The sequence below is a fragment of the Homo sapiens genome, chromosome 2, assembly GCF_000001405.40.
Source record: "Homo sapiens chromosome 2, GRCh38.p14 Primary Assembly".
Classification (NCBI taxonomy): Eukaryota; Metazoa; Chordata; class Mammalia; order Primates; family Hominidae; genus Homo; species Homo sapiens.
In genome coordinates this window covers 237,393,512-237,414,601 of record NC_000002.12, presented here as the reverse complement: position 1 = coordinate 237,414,601, position 21,090 = coordinate 237,393,512, and the positions used below count along the sequence as shown (strand labels likewise).

The 21,090-nt window shown below is 43.1% G+C and overlaps 1 protein-coding gene across 5 annotated transcripts in view; it reads left to right on the top strand.

The window, feature by feature from the left end:
* Nucleotides 438-21,090, top strand: part of COL6A3 (collagen type VI alpha 3 chain) — a 90,147-nt gene continuing 69,494 nt past the window's right edge. For 4 of the 5 annotated variants that reach the window (NM_057166.5, NM_057167.4, NM_057164.5 and 1 more), the window contains exons 1-2: nt 438-649; nt 17,755-17,875. In NM_057166.5, the coding sequence (NP_476507.3) occupies nt 17,785-17,875 (91 nt within the window). In that variant the 5' untranslated portion in view covers nt 438-649; nt 17,755-17,784. Of the gene's footprint in view, nt 650-17,754; nt 17,876-19,397; nt 20,016-21,090 lie in introns of all 5 variants that reach the window. The other variant, NM_004369.4, reaches the window with a different exon arrangement.

Below are 21,090 nucleotides of genomic sequence, written 5' to 3'. Positions count from 1 at the left end.
AAACTTCAAGAAGAAATGGGAGGGTGTGGTGAGGGTAAGCGGGGGACTGCATTTCCTGTTTTCCTTTCAGATGGTGTTGGAAAACATTGCAGGAAAACCATGGATACCCACGAAGAAATTCCAAAATTTATTCTTTTTGACGCCAAGGGCCCAGCCCAAAAGGTGACGAGTAGGAGTGGTCAATTTTTTTTTTTAAGAGTTGGGGCTTGCAGGAGTCCAGCTAAACGCTTGTAGGGTGAAGACAGAATTCAGAGGGTGACATCAGCCTGAGCGGGGGCCAGAAGAAACAGAGTGGAGGAGTCTGGTTTCATTTACAGTTTTGGGTCAGTTCTGCAGTGAGGAGGGGGAGAGGAGGGGTCCGGGAGGGAGGAGGAGGAGGAGGAGGAGCTGGAGGAAGCCCTGACTGGTATCCCTGGCCCCAGTCCAGTTTGGAGCTCAGTCTTCCACCAAAGGCCGTTCAGTTCTCCTGGGCTCCAGCCTCCTGCAAGGACTGCAAGAGTTTTCCTCCGCAGCTCTGAGTCTCCACTTTTTTGGTGGAGAAAGGCTGCAAAAAGAAAAAGAGACGCAGTGAGTGGGAAAAGTATGCATCCTATTCAAACCTAATTGAATCGAGGAGCCCAGGGACACACGCCTTCAGGTTTGCTCAGGGGTAAGTGTGATTTCTCTTCTGTTTTTCCAGGTTTGGGGCTAGAAGGAAATGCTCTTAACCTGAAGTGATCCTTTCTAGGTAGCGTTAGTGGCTCTTACGTTCATGCTGATCGCCAGTTTTCTGTACATGTTTTAGGTCTCTGGAAGATTCCGCTGATTTTTCTTTCTCACTTTATGGCAATGGGATTTCCTTAAATTGGTTAAGGTCATGATTGCCTAAGAGTGTGAGCACTTTTCCACCGCGTGTCTGTGGCTGCTACACGCGCCCTGTGCATTCCGGGCGGCAGTGTGTTTCGGCCCATGATTTATTTAAGTTACTGCCGCCTTCTAAAACCCATTCGGGATCCGCTTTGTTTGCAGAAGCGTCTTTGCTGAGGACTAGCATAGCTCCCTGCCGGGCGGCTCCGCTGGGAGATGTTCTCTGAGCTCTCTGGGTGGTGACACTAGGTCAGGGTGCAACAACCTGCATGGGTTTTCTGCCCAGGGCCGCCCATGGGAAGGTCCTGGTGGAGCACATTTGCTGCTTTCACAAGATTGGAGTAACTCTGGTGCTCAGGATCAGGGCCAAGTAAAGGGTCGCTCAGTCATTGCCGTCAAGCTTTCGTCTTTCCAGGAACCTGAAGTCTCTATTGGAGACTTTGTCCCTTGGGGTTGCTTAAAGGAGTTGCAGGGGTCAGAGGAGAAGAAGGAATTGGGCATTTGGGCAGCATGCTGAGTGTCTAAGGCAGGGCCCCTGGGGCTGCAGGGCCAGCCCATGCTGCACAGAGGTGAGGCCAGTGCCGAGCTGGGAGGCCCCGAGGGCTGTTCTCTGGCCCGGAGGATGCAGGGTGGGGCTCGGGCCCTCTCTTGCTGAGGATGGACACGTTCGCTGACAGTGGCCAGCCTGTTTGGGGAACCTGTTTCAAGGGGCCTACTATGTTGGATAATGAACGGGTATTGAAGTATGGGTGGGGTCACTGGGAGGGACTAGGGAGTGGTTAAAGAAAAATCTGCTTCCACAGGAAGCCCCAGGAGCCAGTTTCGAGGCCGGTGCAGACCCCAGGAGCAAACCCCTCTGAGCACAGGGGAGTCTGCTGTGCTGGATGGGGAGGCAGGGCTGTGGCCCCGGCTGACTGGCTTCTCTCCCCACATACAGCTCACCCCGGCGAGGACCACAGGGTGCTAGAGCTGCAGGGTGCTCAGAGCTCACGGGGATGGTGGATGCTCAACCTGGGATCCCCCAGCTCCCCAGGGTCCCATTCTTAATGCTGTAAAAAACAACCGAAATGGCTTTAAAATCAAAGTTACATTGCTCCTAAGCAAAACTATATTGAAAACTGAGTGGGTGGCCGTTGATGACATTACTGGGACTTCTGAGGTTTTTGTTGGGCTAAAGATAATGGAAGAGATTTTTGGTCAGAAGCCACTGATGCAGTAGTTTCCTGGTTTTCAAAATGAGCAACCAGGGGCTCTGAGATGCGGAATTCCTTGCCCAGGCCAGGGAGCGAGTGCCTGAGATGGCAGTGAAATCCTTCCCCATTGAAGGAGAGCAGACAAGCCAGTGACGGAGGATCCCAAATAACTCACATCTCGTTGGGAAAACTGCTTTGGGCTCACTAAGACTCTACCAATGAACCGAGAAAGAAGGGAGGTGGACCGTGGGGCGGGGGCATCGGTTCCGTGACCGGAATACCGGGGCTGGCCGCCCTGCTCAGGCCACCTCCTGGGGGTGGAGGGCGCTGAAGGAGGGGACCTGTATGCTCTTCTTTCTGAAGTGGGCTTGTAGCTGAGGATGAAAGCCTGGGTGGGGAGGCGTGGCTTTTACAAAGATCAGGATGTAGGAACAGCTGCCTGTCTGGACTTCTTTGTTTAGGGGGTTTCTTGCTACCCAGAGGTTTAGTTCTCTCCTTTCCTCACTCATGGTCGAGAGAAGCCAGGAAGCAGACACTGAGTGGAGCAGAGGGCTTGGGAAGGAATTCCATGTTGGGGTGAAGTGAGGCTGTCCTGGCTTTTCCTATCCAGGCATTGGAGGGTGTGGCTACAGCACCTTTCTGGGAGGTGGCTGGGGAAGCCTCTAGAATGTTAGCCCTTGGCCCCGCTCTTTCCCTGCTTGGCAGGGAGCGTGTTCCACCCCACTATAGTTGTGGCCCACAGGTGAGGGGACATGTGGCAAATGTCCAAACCTGGGGTCTGAATGATATTTTTGATACGAGGTAGGCACCTTTCTGAAAAATTGTCTTTACTTCACACTTCATTTTATTTCTAAAGCATTCAGGACTCAGCAAATTGCACTGACTTTATCATCAGTGCCTTTTGTGATTTCCTATCCTAGAACTTAATACGTCCCCGATGAGAAAGTAGGAAGAAGCTCCTCTCTTCAGTCGATTGTTGATTTATGGTTCCAATGAGGCTGCTCATCCTGACCTTAGTTTCAGGAACGGAACCCATAGACCTGGATGCCTAAAGCCAGCTTGAAACAAGACCGCCTTCTTTGGAAGCTTTGGAAGCTGGCAGTGACTTTTTGCCAGCGAGGTTTCATTTGTTTCCTTGCTCAGAGTGTTCAGACAACTGGATCAAGCGTAGTCTTCACCAGCGGTTGATATCACCTCCCACTTATATGTGAAATTCCATGTTTAGGACTTAAAATTCACCGGCAAGTCGTGAATACTATTGCGTGACACTTCCTTGCAGGCGCAGTAACAGCTTTAGCAAAAATTTTTATTTGAAAGTTCAGTTTTGTCACTGCTCTTTTTGGAAGAAGCTGAAAATCTGCTATCTCTTGGGGGAAGGATTGCAGGCGGTTTCCATCTGACAGGGATGTTGTGTACCAGGCAGCTTTTCCACCCTGACTTACGGGAGCAAACTTTTCATGGTGTCCTGGCTGCAGCAAGCAGGCAGTAAAAAACACATCACTGCTACATAAATAGCTGACGATTTGAGGAGGGACCTGACATTTAAAGAAAATCCTATTAGCTCTAGCTAAGAAAATGAAAGCCGCAAACCCTCCAAATTTTAAAGTGGGGGAGCTTTAAAGTTTCCTACTAATTCAGACAGCCATGAACTAGACAAGAATGGTTATCTTCATTCTCCCGTTTCTAGATACAGCTTCTCTGTTTCCACTGTAAAACTTCAGTGGAATTCAGTGTAAAAATTCAGTGCAAAGAAAGGACAATCCTATTCTTTAAATAAAACATGTTGCTTGCCCCCTCTAATGTGTGGTCATGAATGTCTTATTTCCAGGGAGTATTCCACAGGTCCTGATTTTGCAGAGATATTCCCTTCAACAATTCACTTTGTTAATTTTGAAAAATATAATTTTTAATACATTCTGGTCTTATAGTCCATTTTGGGAAAGAGATGAAATTTTGAGGGCTGGGCACTGTGGCTCATCTCTGTAATCCCAGCACTTTGGGAGGCTGAGGTGGGCGGATCGCTTGAGCCCAGGAGTTTGAGACAAGCCTGGGCAACATAGGGAGACCTTGTCTCTACAAAAGCGTTTTAAAAAATTAACCAGGCATGGTGGCATGTGCCTGTAATCTCAGCTACGAGGCTGAGTTGGGAGGATCACTTGAGCCTGGGAGGTTGAGGCTGCAGTGAGCCGTGACTATGCCACTGCACTTCAGCGCCTGGGCGACAGAACCAGACCCTGTTTCAGAAAAAAAAAAAAAAAAAAAGAAAAGAAATTTTGAGTTAGCACGTTCATCCTGGTCTGTTTTTGAAAAGGCAGTTTGGTTTTCTTTCCTCTAGAGGGAGGTGTATCTCTGCGAGCTTCAGAAAAATCTCTGAAGTGGTGCCTGGAGTCTCCCAGGGTGGAGTTTCAGGGTTTGTAGTAACTCAGTGATGACCATCTCAGCAGAGCTTGCGGGCAGTTTTAGGACTGATATTTCAATACATGATTGTCATTATTATATTTATTGTGGCTGTTCATAATAACGGAAGTGTACATACGTTAGAGCTTTGTTTTTCTTCTCTGCTCAGGTGTAAGTGTATTGAGATGAAATTGTGCCATCAAAGGAGGCATCTTTGTTCCCAAACAATTGCATTACAAGGGTATTCAGCAAATAAGACATTTTATAGGAAGCATTTTACCCATATCTAATTACAGAGGTTTAAATGAACAGTCGGGTGCTTGAGAACCAAAGTAGGTTTGCATATTCATGCCATTGCGTATCCCTGTAGAATTACCGGATTTTAGAACTGTAAGGGTGCTCGTGACATGTCCTTTGATACTTTCCCCTAATAATGGACAATGGGTTTTAACATACTTTTAAAAATTCACACAAGCTATGATTATGAATGTCTCGTCTTGAATATTTATTAATACAAATATATATTACTGACTCTCAGATTTATGTCTGTTCGCTTGAGATAACCAGCATTAAGACTCTGAGGGAGACAATTCTAGCTCAGAGCAAAACAAACAAACAAACAAACAAACAAAAAAAACAAAAACCTAACCCTTTGGTTGGTCTTTGTGTTCTCATGTTTACTTAAGTTTAACAAGACCTATTGTGCATCATGGCCTTGAGCCCTGAGGTTCAGGGAGGGGATATATCCCTAATGCTAAATGACGAGTTGATGGGTCCAGCACACCAACATGGCACATGTATACATATGTAACAAACCTGCATGTTGTGCACATGTACCCTAAAACTTAAAGTATAATAATAATAAAATAATAAAAAAAGAGAATACATTCTTGGGGAATATTAAAAAAATGACTAAGACATAGCCCCCTCTCTTCTGGTTGGCAAACATATAATTTCTGTTTGGCTAATTGAAATATCAAAAAAACTACTACCTTGGTGGATGGTTTCTCCACGCCCTTTATGCTTCAGATGAAGAAAGAGAGCTCAGAGAGGTATGCCCAGTGACAGGGCCACAGAGCTAGTAGCAGAATTGTCTGATGTTTCCAATATGCAGACATCTTGGAATCTGGACATTTCAAGGGGGACAAGCCTTTAAGAGTGTATTTTAGGGTGCCATGTGGAGAAAGGTACTCTTCCCATTCCCAGTCTTCCTTGGAGTAGCCTCTTTTAAGTTGATTCAGCAGAGGAGTAACTGTTGCTTAAAAAAATCTGGAAAGAAAAAGGAGAGAAGAAAAAAACAAATACGAAAAGTTCTGCCAAACCTTCTCCCAAAGGCAAATTGTTAGTCTTGTAGGGGTCTGGCTGCATTCAGCATAGTATGATCCTACTGTTCTCCTGAAGTTTAAACTCATGAATTACAGAGAAACATTTGAGAATTGCAAGTGGCCAGGGAAAAGTACAATGGGAAATGTTTCTGTAAAACCCCCTGTGTGTGCTATACATTAGGTTTTCAGGAACCCAGAGCATCAGGAATTGGTCACTGGAAGGAAGAGCTCATGGCTCGGTTTAATTTCAAAATTAAAAATTGAACAGCAGCTGGAGTTGACTCAGATCTCAAGGGAAACCATTCCAGGAAACTGGTTTTTCACTTCTGGAATCTTCATTAGTTGATTCAGCAGCCCAGGGCCGGTACCCAGAGTTAGCGCCAACTCAGCTAAACCCACAGCCGGCCCGGCGGTGCACCAGGGTGCTCTGTTTCTAACTGGGGCTGCAGAAAACCCATCATTCATCAGAGCCCAGGGCAACAGATGGAAGAGAGCAGTCGCAGGACTATGGCCTGTTCGAGCAACAGGCAAGGAGCCTTCTTTTACACAAAAGGGAGGCTGGGAGAGATTGGCCGACCATTGCTGACAGAGGCAGTAAGGAAGTAGAATTTCCCAGGTTACTGCAATAAATCCAGCATGGATGATATTTTATCAGATGTTCCAACTTGATTTTTGAAAAGGTTTCTGTTTTCAAGAATGATTTTATCTTCTCTACTTGATTATAAATTAGACTAGAAAACAGACAAAATATCTAACTTTTCTCTTTACAAAGAGAGCACCTTTCAGCCACTTTAATCATTTACAGTGGAACACCACAGTTTTGGAAAGGTCAGTAGCACCTTAGTTCATTGCCAAGAAGGAAAAGACAGGAATAAGTGCCAAGCTCCAATTTGGATCCAGCAGCGTCACGTGGCAAGGAGTTGGAATGGAGTGGGCATTTGTGCAATATTTCTTGAAGCATTTTCTAATGCACCTTTCTTCTTTAATGTTGAAATGGAACTAGTCTCTGCCTGATGTTTATAATTAGCAGTATAAGTGCAGACAAAATCTTGTCTGGCTGCCGTATATTTCAGAATGTGGAATGTGTTTTACATTTGCATGGTGGCGTCTAGCTTTTCAAATCACACCAGATATGGAACTTTCTGCCTCATGGTTATTATCTGCAATGCTAGGAATATGTTTTAAAGTAATTTTTTCAAATATCTGGGTAATTAATCTGGAGTTTCTTAATTGCCTTTGTAATGGGAAGGAGACCCACCTCTGAGGAGCTTGGCCTAAGCCTGGCTGCAGGTCGGCATATTCTTACAGGTGCTCTCATTCACAGAGGGAGGGCATTGGTAGGGGATGTCCAGGCCTTCTCTTTCTGCATTGCTTTGTTATAATCCACAAGTTGCAGAACAGGTGTTGCTTTGTTAGATTTTACCAGGAAGAGTTGAAGATCTCGAATCCGCTACTCCATATCTAACAAGGACCCCCGTAAGTGACAAAGGACCCCAGTAGGTGACAAAGGAGGTCTAGTTACCCTGCCTGATGAGAAGAGTTTTAAAATGTTGCTATCACAGGATACACATTCAGTTTGAGTCAAACAGATTATTGTTCTAGAGTATTTTCATAGAATAGAAATTCAAAGGCCAGGTGTAGTGGCTCATGCCTATAATCCCAGCACATTGGGAGGCCAGGGCAGGAGGATCCCTTGAGCCCAAGAGTTTGAGACCAGCCTGGGCAATATAGTGAGATATTGTCTCTACCAAAATTCAAAAAAAATTAGCCAGGCGTGGTGGCGCACACCTGTAGTCCTAGCTACTTGGGAGGCTGAGGTGGGAGGATTGCTTGATCTCAGGAAGTTGAAGCTGCAGTAAGCTCTGATCATGCCACTGCATTCCAACCTGGACAACAGAGCTATACTCTGTCTCAAAAAAAAAAAAAAAAAAAAGGGAAAAAAGAAAGAAATGTGAAATCCAAGTTGTTAAATAAACAGTAAAAAAACAAAATTTGCTATATTTCTTTGGAGGTTTCTTGGAGCTCTTCCAAAACATTTTCTTTTGAGGATTCTCCTTTGGGTCTTTCAAACACCAAGAGCATATTAAATTCCACTCTCCTCCTACCCTAATTGCAGGACTTAATAAATCCTTTCTTAGCTTCCTCCCTGAGGAAAAGAACGGGGACTCCTTTCCCAGGATTCGTGCAAAAAGAGAGAGAAAGAGTGAGAAAAAGAGAAAGAAATGGGGCGCTCCTTCTTGCAGTCTAGGAATGGGCGTGGCAAAGGCAAGGGTGGATGAGTGCCTCAAATTTACTGAAATTTGACTTTCTATTTCACAGTCAGTGTGCACGGCTCTCCCACTGTGGTCTTTGACTATTTCCACTGCTCCCATTTTAAACAGGACAATTAGGAACTAACAGAAGTCCCAGAACTTGATAGGAGGGACAGGCTGATTTTAAAAAGCAGTGCTTGGAGAAAACCAAATAAATGACTTCAAAATGGAAGCTCTGGATTTATTTGAGTCTTTGTTTTCAAACTATTTCCTTGTGTGCATGCGTGTGTGTCTCTTTCTTAAAAAAGATTTCCAGACATGGAAAATGAAAAAGGTTTTGAGTAGGCTAAATGAAAACTAATTTACAGAATTGCAAAATAGCTTGGGAAATCATATTCATTGGAATATGATTGAATATGATTTCAGGTTGAAGGGCCATGTAGGGCAATCTTTCTGATGAAAGGTATCCTTTTAAATTTCAAAGGGATAGAAACTAAACGGAAAAAGGCACCTCAAATCCTTTTTAGAATGAGGCAGAGTAAACAAAAAGATGAATAATCCTAAACAGAAAGATGAGAATGAAAATGTGATGAATGTCTCTTATTGAATCTGTTTCCTTTAGGACACAGAATCTAGGATGAAGGAACAGACCCCTTCCAGCCCAAGGATCTCAAGCAGCCAATTCTGAGTCTTTTTTTCATATTTGAAAGAATGATAGTAGACAGCCGACTTCCATTGACATAGAATCTGTGGTGTGTCACCACCAAGGAAGTCTATTTTTTCCCCAAAAGGCATGGGGAGTTTCCTTGAGATCTGGGCCAAATCTGGCACAGCCTCTAGGGTTTCCCGGGGTTCTTCCCATGAGCTTTGGAAATGCTAACTTGGGTTAGGGTTCTGGTTCTATGTTGTTTTTATCTATGTAGCTTTGAACAATCACTTTGCCTTGCTGGGGTTTCAATTTCTCAGCTATAAAATGGAGGGAAATCAGCCATCGGATGGTTGGGAGGAGGGCGTGAAATCCCACCCACAAGACAGAAGCCCAGGAAACGTTACCAGCACTCTCCTCTCTCCTTCCTCCGGGAGGGTGGTGTCGGGGAATGAGCGCGGATGGCTGCCTCATTCCCTCTTGTTGAAGAGGGCGGGTGGTCATCTGGTGAGATGGTGTTTGACATCTTTTAATAATCTAAATGAAAAAGTTCTCCAAAATTTGCTGCCAGGGAATTTCGTTTTTTTATAAATGGAGACTCCAGGACATGACAAACAATAGAAGAGAGTTAATTGCAAACGAAAATATCAGCAAATATTCAACAGCTGGGCTAGGAGCCCACGAGCCACAAGACCTGCTTCCCGCATGATGGCAGGAAAGTGTGTGGGGCCAAAGGCGTTTTTCCCACCTGGGAATTCAGCTCAGTCAAACCATATGGGTTCTGAATCATCAGTGGAGCCTGGATAACGCATTGTCCTACAGGCATTATCTCCCGTCCTTTTCAGAGCTGGAAGGGCTCCTTTCCTTCTCTTCCCTCCCCTCCTCTTCCCTCAATATCTGGATATATTCTGGATAAAATAATTCCTGTGCACAGTGTATTTATCCCATTACTTTGTGTTCCAATGGGAAGTATCTCCACTGAGGGGGCTACTCCTCCAAAGATTCACATCTTGAAAATAAAAATCTTTACATATGATTTTCAATGAACTAAAAGTTCATTTTACTCAGAATGGTTGAAGTAAGTGAGTGATGTCTTAGACTTCCCGGATTTTATTTTGTAACTATTTAGATTGTATTGAGCACTCTGGAAGATGAGAAATGTAATTTTGGAATTGCTCCAGAGTGAGCCCACTCAATGCTTTATATGTGACAGAATCAGTGGATTCAAAGGCTTTCACTGTGTGAGGTATGGGAATGATTAAGAAAACCATTAGCAAAACCTGCTCAAGGCATAATTCACTTGTGCTCTTTGTCAATGCTCCCTGCACAGGTGTCTGCAGCTCTTCCCATCCCAGACTCAACAGTGAGGAGACAGCTCTCATCTTATCATGTCCTATTTTTTCCACCTGGATTACAAAGCCGAATGCTTTACAAAGAGCCTCTATAATACTCTTGTGTTCTCATTCACAAACAAAAATACCACTTAAAATCATGCCTCTTGAACATGGATTAAACATTTAAAGTAATCGAACTGGATCTTCCAGAAGATTTGCATTAAAATTTTTAATTGAAGCAGTGATGCTTAAACTTTTGGGGGGTGAGGAGTGGCACAACTGCCTTTTAGAATCACATACAAACATGGACCCTTATCTCCAGAAAAACCCTCATCCATAGATGCAATTTTGCACTCAACTGTGGGAGGATCATAGACTCTTTGAATCTGTTGATCCCGTATTAAAACATTGATCTGGACCAGTTACAATAATACAGGTTGTTTTGGAAAGAACAGGCCATTTTCTTAGAAAGAATCTAGCAGGAAGCTTACCTTTGCTAAAAAAAAATTGACGCTCAAGCTTGATAGAACGAATCAAGAATAGCACATATAAAATGTACTTTTATATTATTCTGAAGTGTATATCATTATTTAATTGAGGTCATACAAAAAATTAGATATTGCAATTGCTTTTTTTTTTTATTTGAAGAAACACTCAGGAATGGGTCTAACAGACTGTAGGGAAGAAAGGTAGAGCTTGGTGGAAAAGTCTGGAAGGTTCCCAGGGTTGCATGGGCTTGAGGGATTCCTAGAGAGTGAAGGGGCAAAGTTGGGGCTGTGGCACGGTGGGGGTAGGGTCAACCTAAGTGGAGGGAGGAGAACAGGCAGTCCAGCCTGTCGGGGGTCCCTGAGCCCTGCTGTGCTGCGACCGGGCTAAAGCTTGGGAGCATTATCAAACCACAGCACAAGCACTGGAGACTGCTCTTCTACATTGTGTTAACATATATCCATGTCCAAAAGGCAGTGACCATTGCAAGGGAAAAAAAATCGGGCTGAGCTTTTGCAATACTGCCGCTATCACCACTCATTGCTGTCACTTTGTTGCAGAAAAATATCTGTTCTGTTGATAACTGGCCTCCTGAGCATCATTAGAACAGCATTCCTTTCTCACTGTTGATGCATTTCCAAGAGACTGCTGTATTGACAGGTGGTTCTATTTTAGCTGCTGAGATCATGGCTTCAAGTTCTCAGAATCTGAATCACAGGGTACATTTGTTTCATCACAGGTGGTACTTTTTGTTGACTTTCTTTGGAAATCCAAAGCCACATGGGTCCTGGTGTTCATTCCCTTGTTTGTGGCTTCATCTGTCTCCATCTCACCAATTTTTGGCGGGTCAGGCCTAGGGCCCACACTGTGTTCCGTCTTCCTCATAGCTGGGCCGCAAGATTTGGACTCCAGCTTCTCCCTCTGGGCCTGACCTCAGGCAGGAGGAATTTCACGGCAAATCCACGGGACTGAGCTTCAGGTTTCCTTTGCACCCACTTAGCTCCTGTCCTTGACTGGCAGCCTCAATCACTCTCTGTGGCTCTCCCTGTACCTTTGCTAAGTGGTCCATCTGGACACTAGTCTGCTGCTCCATTCATGGCAAAGTTACATCACTCATCAGCCGGACAGACTCTCCTCTGCTATCAATCTTCAGGTGGCAAGGCTGAGAACATTAGATCATCCTCATCCCTGATTTCATTAGCTGTATGGGGAAAATGGAATTCCTGTGCTACACAACAGACAACCATGAAGACTTGCAGAGCCCATGGGGGCACCTGTGGAGAGAGGAAGATTAAGATAGAGATACAAAAGCTCAGGCCTTGGGTGGAGCCGATTCCAAAGCTCAGAGGATACTAGTCAAGGCAGAAGCCATGTTTGCACCAGGTCTGAATGTTCATATTAGATTCTTTCCCACTTTCATGAGACTCTGATCTTCTTTGCCAAACCCTAACATTTTGCATGACATATACTCTTTTCTTATTTCTTTCCAAATCTTATTTAGAAGTAAGGGCAAACATTGTGTTATTTGAATACAGCGGCATGTAGACACACTTTAGGATGTTTAGTTGTACTGTTTTTTCCTAGTAGCTCTTAAACTCTATCACACCTCAAAAAAGAGATGCTGCACTTACATCATTCCTGTTAAATTGATGGCTACATTTTAGGGGTAGTTACCCATGCTTTTAAAACCTGGCAAATGATATTTCCTGTCCTCATTTCTATTTTAATTGTGGTAAAAACCATATAACATAAAACATACTATCTTGACTATATTTAAGTGTACAGTACAGCAGTGTTAACTATACGCACCTTGTGCTACAACAAATATCTATAACTTTTTGATCTTGCAAAACAGAAGCTCTATACCTATGGGACAGTAACTACAACTGCCTCCCTCCTGACAGCCCATGGCCAACACCATTCTAGGTTCTTTTTCTAAGACTTTGACTACTTTAAATACCTTCACATAAATGGAATTATAAAGTAATGCATTTGTCTTTTAGTGACTGGCTTATTTCACTTAGCATAATATCCTCAAGATTCATCCATGTTGTAGTAGATAAAAGGATTTCATTCTTTTATAAAGCTGAATAATATTCCTTGTATGTGGCATGTATAAGACTTAGTATAATACAGTAGGCCGTGCACAGTGGCTCACGCCTGTAATCCCAGCACTTAGGAAGGCTAAGGTGGAAGGATCTCTTGAGCCCAGGAGTTCAAGACCAGCCTGGGCAACATGGCAAAACCCTGTCTCTACTAAAAATACAAAGCTTAGCTGGGTGGGGTGGTGTGTGCCTGCAGTCCCATTTACTCAGGAGGCTGAGAAGGAAGGATTGCTTGGGCCTGGGAGGTTGAGGCTGCAGTGAGCTGTGATCGTGACACTGCACTCCAGTCTGGGTGACAGAGGGAGACCCTGTCTCAAAAAAAAAAAATTACAGTATAAGTGGTGTAATAACAGTGCAAAGTCCTAGGAGAACTGTAGGAATAGCAGTTAATGAATTTAACAAATATTTATTATACACCTACAATGATACAGACAGGCATTTTGCCATACTCTGTGCTCAGAGTGTGGCTGAGCTTCACAGTCCTGGAAGACTCTTTGTTTATGATAAAGCAGCCTTGGAAATCTATAATCAATTTCATAATTGCAAAAAATTCCATTGTGTGTGTATATATACATATATATACTTAACCAAGGAAGAAAAAAACCTGTGCACTAAAAACTATAAAACACTGTTGAAATGAATTAATTTCTTTATTCATCTCATCTATTGATGGACTTTTAAGTTGTTTCCATCTTTTGGATATTACAAATAATGCTGAAATGAACATGGGTGTGCACATATATCTTTGAGATCCTGTTTTCACTTCTTTTGGATATACCCAAAAGTGGGATAGATGAATTATATGATAATTCTGTTTTCAGTTTTTTGAGGAACATTCATACGATGGAGGCTAGCCTTTCCCCACTGTGTAGCTTTGTTGAAGCTCAAAGATCATATACATGAGGTTTTATTTCTGGGCTCTCTATTCTGTTCCATTGGTTCATATGTCTGTCTTTAAGTCAGCATCATATTGATTTCATTACACCATTTTGTAATATGTTTTGAAATTATAAGTGTGAGGTCTCAAGCTTTGCTATTTTCCACCCCTTCATTCTGTTAATGTGGTGTATCACATTGATTGGTTTTCATACGTTGAAACATCCTTGCATTCTAGAAATAAGTTCCACTTGGTTAGAGTGTATAATCCTTTTAATGTGCTGTTGATTTGGTCAGCTAGTATTGTGTTGAGAATTTTTGCATCAGTGTTCATCAGGGATATTGGTCTGTATTTTTCTTTTCAATATTGGCCTTATAAAAATGAGTTTGGGGGTGTTCCTTTGTCTTTAATTTTTTTGAGAAAAGTTTGAGAAGGATTAGTGTTAATTCTTCCTTAAGTGTTTGGAAGAATTTTCCAGGAGAGACATCTGGTCCTGGGTTTTTTGTTTTTTTTTTATGGAAGGTTTTTGATTACCGATTCAACCCCATACTAATTTTAAGTCTGTTCAGAATTTTTTTTATTGCTTCATGATTCAGTCTTGGTGGATTGTATATTTCAAGCAAATATCTATTTTTTTTCTAGGTTATCCAGTTTCTTGGTGTGCTATTTTCCTCACTTCTTACAGATCTCATGTAGTCTTGTCAGTCTTTCCAAAGTCTTGTATAAACAATTTCACGTGCCTGATTTGCTCTCATTTCCCCTTGCTTTCTTCAGGGAATTGCCAAATTATTCCTGATGCAGGGGATATAAAACCAATCTGTAAGCATTTGGAGTTTTAGAATTATAAGATGAAAAAAGTCACATTTCAAAATCTGACATATACTTGATACCCAGAAAGATGTTTTTGATTTTCATTCACACTGATGCTGAATGCCTTTACATGCTGTAATCTGTGAAACAGACTTCTTTTTAACCTTCAAACCCTAACAGTGAAATGATGATGAAAACTCAATCTCCCTAGATTATATGTATTTCAGTTTCTTAAGTCAAATGGAATTTCTAATTTAACTGTAGTCTACACTATATCATTTCCAATATCAAATAATTCTTCCTGAAACTCAATATAAGAAAAAATGACAATATTAACTAGTGTCATGAAAGTTCATGCTGATAATGAGATTGAGTCTGGTCCTTCCCCTGGGCTTCTCCGGGGAAATGTCAGTCGTCTACCCATTCTAATTCTCTCACTTGGTCACAGGGAGGCAGTGAGCTCCACCATCAAGGGACATGGGTCCCACTTACAGTTAATGGAGTCCGAGAGAGCAGATATTTGCAAACCCAGTGATCTGGGCTCAGTGGAGGCCTGGGCAGGTGGAGATGCCTTTGGTTGCTGCTTCAGAGGAGTAAGAGCTTAGCAAAATTAGACATGGAGAGGAATAGCCCATGAAATGTGTTTGGGGAATTCTGGGTTAAATCAAGTACAGCAGGTTTCTTTACTTTATTTTTCAGAACTGCTATATATTAAGGTATATTGTAACTGTTCCAGAAGGAGGCTTGGTATTCAGCACTTTCCAAACTGCGTTGCTCATGGAATGCCTGTTTTTCCCCTTAGAACATCGAATGGAATGGGTGTTCCATGAAATGTGCTTTGGGAAATGCTGATGAATGAAACGTTGCTGGAGAATGGTAGTTAGAGTTCACTTACCATCCATTCCGCGTCAGGCATTTACCAAACAGGCTACCACATGCTCCTCACAGAGGGCTGGAAGAGAGGCATGGCTATCATTGTTCTGTGTTATAGAGGAGGAAATGGAGGCTTTGAGCAAGTATACCACCTGCCTGAGGTAGGGTATGGTGGATCCAGGATCCAGATTTATCTGATTCCAAGCACCTTGTCTTTCCCCAACATCTCTGGCTCCTTTTCTGATTCCTAAAAAGCCCAAATTCAGGCTGGTGAACTTGATTGAAAAGTTGCTATGGAATCGTGGGGTTTTCATGGAGAAATAAAAATGTTCTTCTTATCCTCTCATCTTATGAACCCTCAGTGTGGCAGGTGCTATTGAGCACCAAGGTGTCTGAATAGTTGTGCACCTTGGCCACTTATTCTCTGCACCCCCATTTTTTCCTGTAAGCATGAGGATCAGCATCTACCTCTAAGGATAATGTAAAGATAAATAACACACATTATGAAAAATTATGAAAAACTGCAATGATCACATAGTAGATGCTGAATAACTTTTGATAACATGGCACCCAAAACAGCGGTTTAATAACATCCTAGCCTACCTGTGTCGCCAATGGCCTTGTTCCCCAGTACTGTTACCCAAACCTCTGAAAAGGGAACCCCTGACCAGAGAGCTCCTAACTGGGGAACCCCTGGCCAGTCTGGGTAAGAAGAGTCACTGACATGCACATCATTGCAAAATGAAAATGAGCTTCTCGTTCAAATGTTTTAAGAATTCCAAGATAGCAACATCAAAGCATCAAACTGAGCATGGGGCCCTTCAGAGCACAGGGTCCTGTGGGCAGCCCCGTCTGTGGTCTAAGAAAAAGTTAAAGGAAACCAGAATCCTGCATTAAGGAGAGGAGAAAAAAGATGCTGTCCTGGCAAGGGGACTTCAGCCTAGACAGAAAGACCCTAGCTCTCTGGAGGGGTCTTAAGGGAGACCCCAGCCCCCAAGCTGATCTCTTAGATTGGAGATTGGAGAGTGAAGAGGCTGTCACAAGATCTTGTGGTAGGAAGAAAAGGTGTTGGCAGGGGAAAGGTCTGATGGCGCACGCTACTGAGCTGAAGTGAATGTGAACTTGGCTGGTGGGGCATCATGTGTGCGGCCCCCAGAGGCGCGTGGGTATGGGAGACTCTGCATCAGGGCAGTTAGCCTCCAGGTCTGGCTTCACAGTCTTACTAATTAAATCACCCCAGGCTCATTCCACTGTGAGATTGGAGGTTGGCATATGGCAGATTTTCCTTGGAGGAAAAGTGCTAAATATTAATAGAGAATATGGACAAGGCTTGACATGGTCCCAGCTGCTGTGGTTGGGTTGCATTTGGTGTAATTTGGGCAAAGCCCGTTCTCTCCATAAACTGAAACTTTCCTCTGAGGTTCTTTTAAACATGACTTACAAACTTAAGCTGGGTGTCAAAACCTGATGCCTTGTGCCTATGAGTGCTTTTACTCCTGACCCATTTCCATTCTGCTCTTTGCTTAGGAATATGCTATTTCCAAATTGCTGCGTACATCACTTAGGGAGGAAAAGAAGGTTTAATTGCATAGCTTTTTAGCTGTGGCCAAAGTAATAGTCACTAGATTCAAAAATTCTCATTTATATGTTTAATCAAAACTATCTTTCATAATGGATAAATTTTTCATTCATTAGTAATTTGAAAAAGAAAGAGAATATTTTCAGATTGTGGAGAAACTACTATGAATGCCTATTTTCTAAAAATGTAATTGTGTTCTTTGAACTATGTTTAAGAATGTCCAGAGAGGAGAGTGAGCAGTGCCATTACAGGTGACCTATGTTCTGCTAACAAGAAGAGGTCTGAGGTCCCTTTAGACAGAGAGCTCTGCCTATTCACTTCTCACTTACCTATTCTTTACCTTCCTCCCACCTTCCCACCTTGCCTCCTCCCTTCCTCCCTCCCTCCTTCCCTCTCTCCCTCCCTCCCTCCCTCTCTCTCTTTCTTTCTCTCTTTCTTTCTTTCCTTCTCTCTTTCTTTCTTTCCTTCTCTCCTCTTTGTTTTTCTTCTGCTTCTTTCTCTTCTTCTCCTTCCTTCCTTCCATCCTTCCTTCCTTCCCTCCTTCCCTCCCTCTCGCCTTCCTTTCTTTCCCTTCCTTTCCTTCCTTCACTTCTTCCTTCCTTCCCTTCTTTCACTTCTTCCTTCCTTCCCTTCCCTTCCTTCACTTCTTCCTTCCTTCCCTTCTTTCACTTCTTCCTTCCTTCCCTTCCCTTACCTTCCTTCTCTTCTCCCTTCCCTTCCCTTCTCTTCCCTTCCCTTCTCCTTCCTTCCTTCCCTCCCTCCCTCCTTCCTTCCTTTTATATATGCATATATGTGCGCATGTATGTATCTGTATAGATTTTTATCTATCTATCTATCTATCTATCTATCTATCTATCTATCATCTATCTAACTGTCTATCATCCATCCTTTTGCTGCTGGTTCAAAGAATGAATCAGATACAAAGTCTTCTTGGAAGTCTAAAAAGGACGTAGAAAGCATGGGATTTTGAGAGATTTTGCATAATGAGAGTCAAAAACTGATCATTCCCTTTGCCCTGTTTTCTCTTTTAGGTTCATATTTGGTGCTTAGACAAATTCAAAATGAGGAAACATCGGCACTTGCCCTTAGTGGCCGTCTTTTGCCTCTTTCTCTCAGGCTTTCCTACAACTCATGCCCAGCAGCAGCAAGCAGGTAAGAGCCAGAAACGTCCTTGATTTTGTAAAAAGGAATATCATTCTTTGATTTTAGATCTTAGACATCAGGCACTGACATAGAGCTTAGATATGTTCTTAAGGTAGCTAAGCCATTTATTATAGGATAGTCAGATAGGATAGTTCTAGGATTTATAGGCCTTTTCAGATACTCTTTATCCAGTGAGAGATGACCTATTTTTATTAAAACTTGGGTTTGGTATCTTGGAATTGGCTTGAAAATGATTTGTTTTTACATTGGATGTGAACGGAAAGTTTGTATCTCAAATGTTTTACCACCTGAAGGGACTTTCCACATTTCTGGCATTGGCTGGTCTCTGAGCACATAAAGTAGGGAGAAGTCAATGATTGAGAGTAAAAACTATTTTCCCTGAAAAATACAAAGATCACCCTCTCTCTCTAACTCCAGATGCAGGAAGGCATTTTTCATCTAGGATCCTTGAATCTTTAAGATTTCTGTTTCCCAAAACGAATTAAAAGCATGGGTTCTAATTAACTCTATTAAGAATTTGATTTCAGAGTTTTAGAAAAGTGGGAAATGCTTCATGCATTGCAAGCTGGAAAGGACTCAGGTGGGTCTCCCTCTCCTTGACCCAGAGAGCTTGGCCTCTGAGGGATTCTTCCTCCAGGCCAGGTTGCTCTTAGATGGAGGGAAGTCTAGTGTCACTTCAATGGAAGAAGAACGTGGGTTGGGGCATCAGGTCAGCCTGAGGTAAGTAGAGTCCAGCAGCAAGCCTGGCTCACAGCTGCAGAAGGGCACCTCCTGGGGCCACTGACAGCCTGATACCCTGAGCTCCCACCCTTGAGGGAGAACTGGGTTCATCTGGAAATGAGATAGATAATGTTTGACATCTATGGAGACTTTTCTGGCTCTGAAAAATATGCAGTAACTAATAGAGTACAGTTTGTTCATGCTCAAAAAATCTGGAAAAAATAAGTCTTTTCCCTTCTCTACATTTACACAAGTCCTCCTCGCTTAAAGAACATGTATTTATTATATTTATTTTTCACGCAAATTACCCAAAGCATTGGGGGTTAGTGAATGGAAAATAGCAATTTTTACTTTTCCTTTTTTGTCAAGGCCCGGTTTTGTATTCCAAACTAAAGAATGAATTTATAAAATGATGGTTGGTTGTCTGTGATAAGACTTCCTTCTGGTTTAATCAGGTGGGTCTTGGGGCTCAAACTGCCACAGGGAATCATACTTGAGTTAAAGACAGCCCAGGAAATTGTTTCCCCAATCTGGAGCATGCTACTGGCCCATTCATGATGGTCTCTGAGTATGGAACTTGGGCTAGTGACTGGGCACCAGCAGCTATTGAGTGCATGGGCTCAGGTCCCTGGTTCCCAGGTAAGTGAGTCTACCTTCCTGTATTATCAGTGAGGTGTGAAGTGTTTAGTAGCAGTATAGTGTAAACCAAATTTGTTTAGGAAGGCTTTGCATTGATAGGAAGTAATTGCTTACATAGTAGAAAAATCTAAACCAATGTCTTTTTTTAAAGATGTCAAAAATGGTGCGGCTGCTGATATAATATTTCTAGTGGATTCCTCTTGGACCATTGGAGAGGAACATTTCCAACTTGTTCGAGAGTTTCTATATGATGTTGTAAAATCCTTAGCTGTGGGAGAAAATGATTTCCATTTTGCTCTGGTCCAGTTCAACGGAAACCCACATACCGAGTTCCTGTTAAATACGTATCGTACTAAACAAGAAGTCCTTTCTCATATTTCCAACATGTCTTATATTGGGGGAACCAATCAGACTGGAAAAGGATTAGAATACATAATGCAAAGCCACCTCACCAAGGCTGCTGGAAGCCGGGCCGGTGACGGAGTCCCTCAGGTTATCGTAGTGTTAACTGATGGACACTCGAAGGATGGCCTTGCTCTGCCCTCAGCGGAACTTAAGTCTGCTGATGTTAACGTGTTTGCAATTGGAGTTGAGGATGCAGATGAAGGAGCGTTAAAAGAAATAGCAAGTGAACCGCTCAATATGCATATGTTCAACCTAGAGAATTTTACCTCACTTCATGACATAGTAGGAAACTTAGTGTCCTGTGTGCATTCATCCGTGAGTCCAGAAAGGGCTGGGGACACGGAAACCCTTAAAGACATCACAGGTAATGGCAACGCCACCAAGCTACGCCCTGCCCTGCTGTTCTTGGGAGATGAGCTTGGCAACTGCTGGCCTTAAAGCAACAGCTAGGATGGCGGGTGGGCCAGGGAAGAGATGAGTGTTCACAGGTTTAAAAACAAAGGTTTGATTTGGAATATTCTTCCATAGTCTTCTCCCCAAGTAGGGCATTCACCTACATACAAGAAGAGTCTTTTTTTAAACAACTAATATTTTCAGTCTAAAAAAACCCACATTCTAATATTATGATCCCACAAAATACCTCTGCCTTCCTTAGAAAAGAAAGCCTCAGAGTGGTGAGGTGTGCATCTGATCAAACTCCTCTATTTGGTGTTGGGATCTGTTTCCTTTAAGGAAAGCTCCCTGTTGGAGAGTGCGTGAACTGAGACGGGAGCGAGGGCATCTGTTTTTGTGTCCAGTGGACTAGCAGAGAGCTTCTCTCTTCTACTTTACGGAGTTAATTTAAGAGTGTTGGTAGAATCGGAATTACAAGAAACCTCAGCTATGATCCAGTCTAGATTGATTTTGGAAAAAATTTAGTCCTGAATGGTTAGTGACAGCCGGAGCTGGAGGCTGTGCATTTGGGCTGTGGGTCTGGTCTTCTTATTTCTTCTCCATGCGGTAATCATGGCTGTGCCCACAGAGACTCTTCTAATTCTAATGGAGTTGATGAGAACCACTCTGGAAGTATTGAGAGCACACGGACATTGCATCGATGTGTCATGTGCAGTTGCATGTACAGAGCTAATTGGCCGACAGGTTATTTAACCAGTTAAGCCTGTTAGCTCTCCTTCCAGGGCTAAGTGCCTAAATGGCCAATGGGGAAGGAATTTGACAAGTACAATTTCAAACTCTACCATACCACAGCAACTGTAATGAGTGCCCAGAGCTTACTCATCAGCGATGGGCAGAGCAGAGGGACCTCCCCTTGTTAGAAAATGAGTCCATGCAGCCATTTGATAGTTGGTAGCAGAGAATTCTGGGTGGAATGAGCAGGAAATGAGAGAGGAATCCAGGGGGAGAGTTGAGCTCCAGAAAGGAGACACACATGTTCTCTGAGA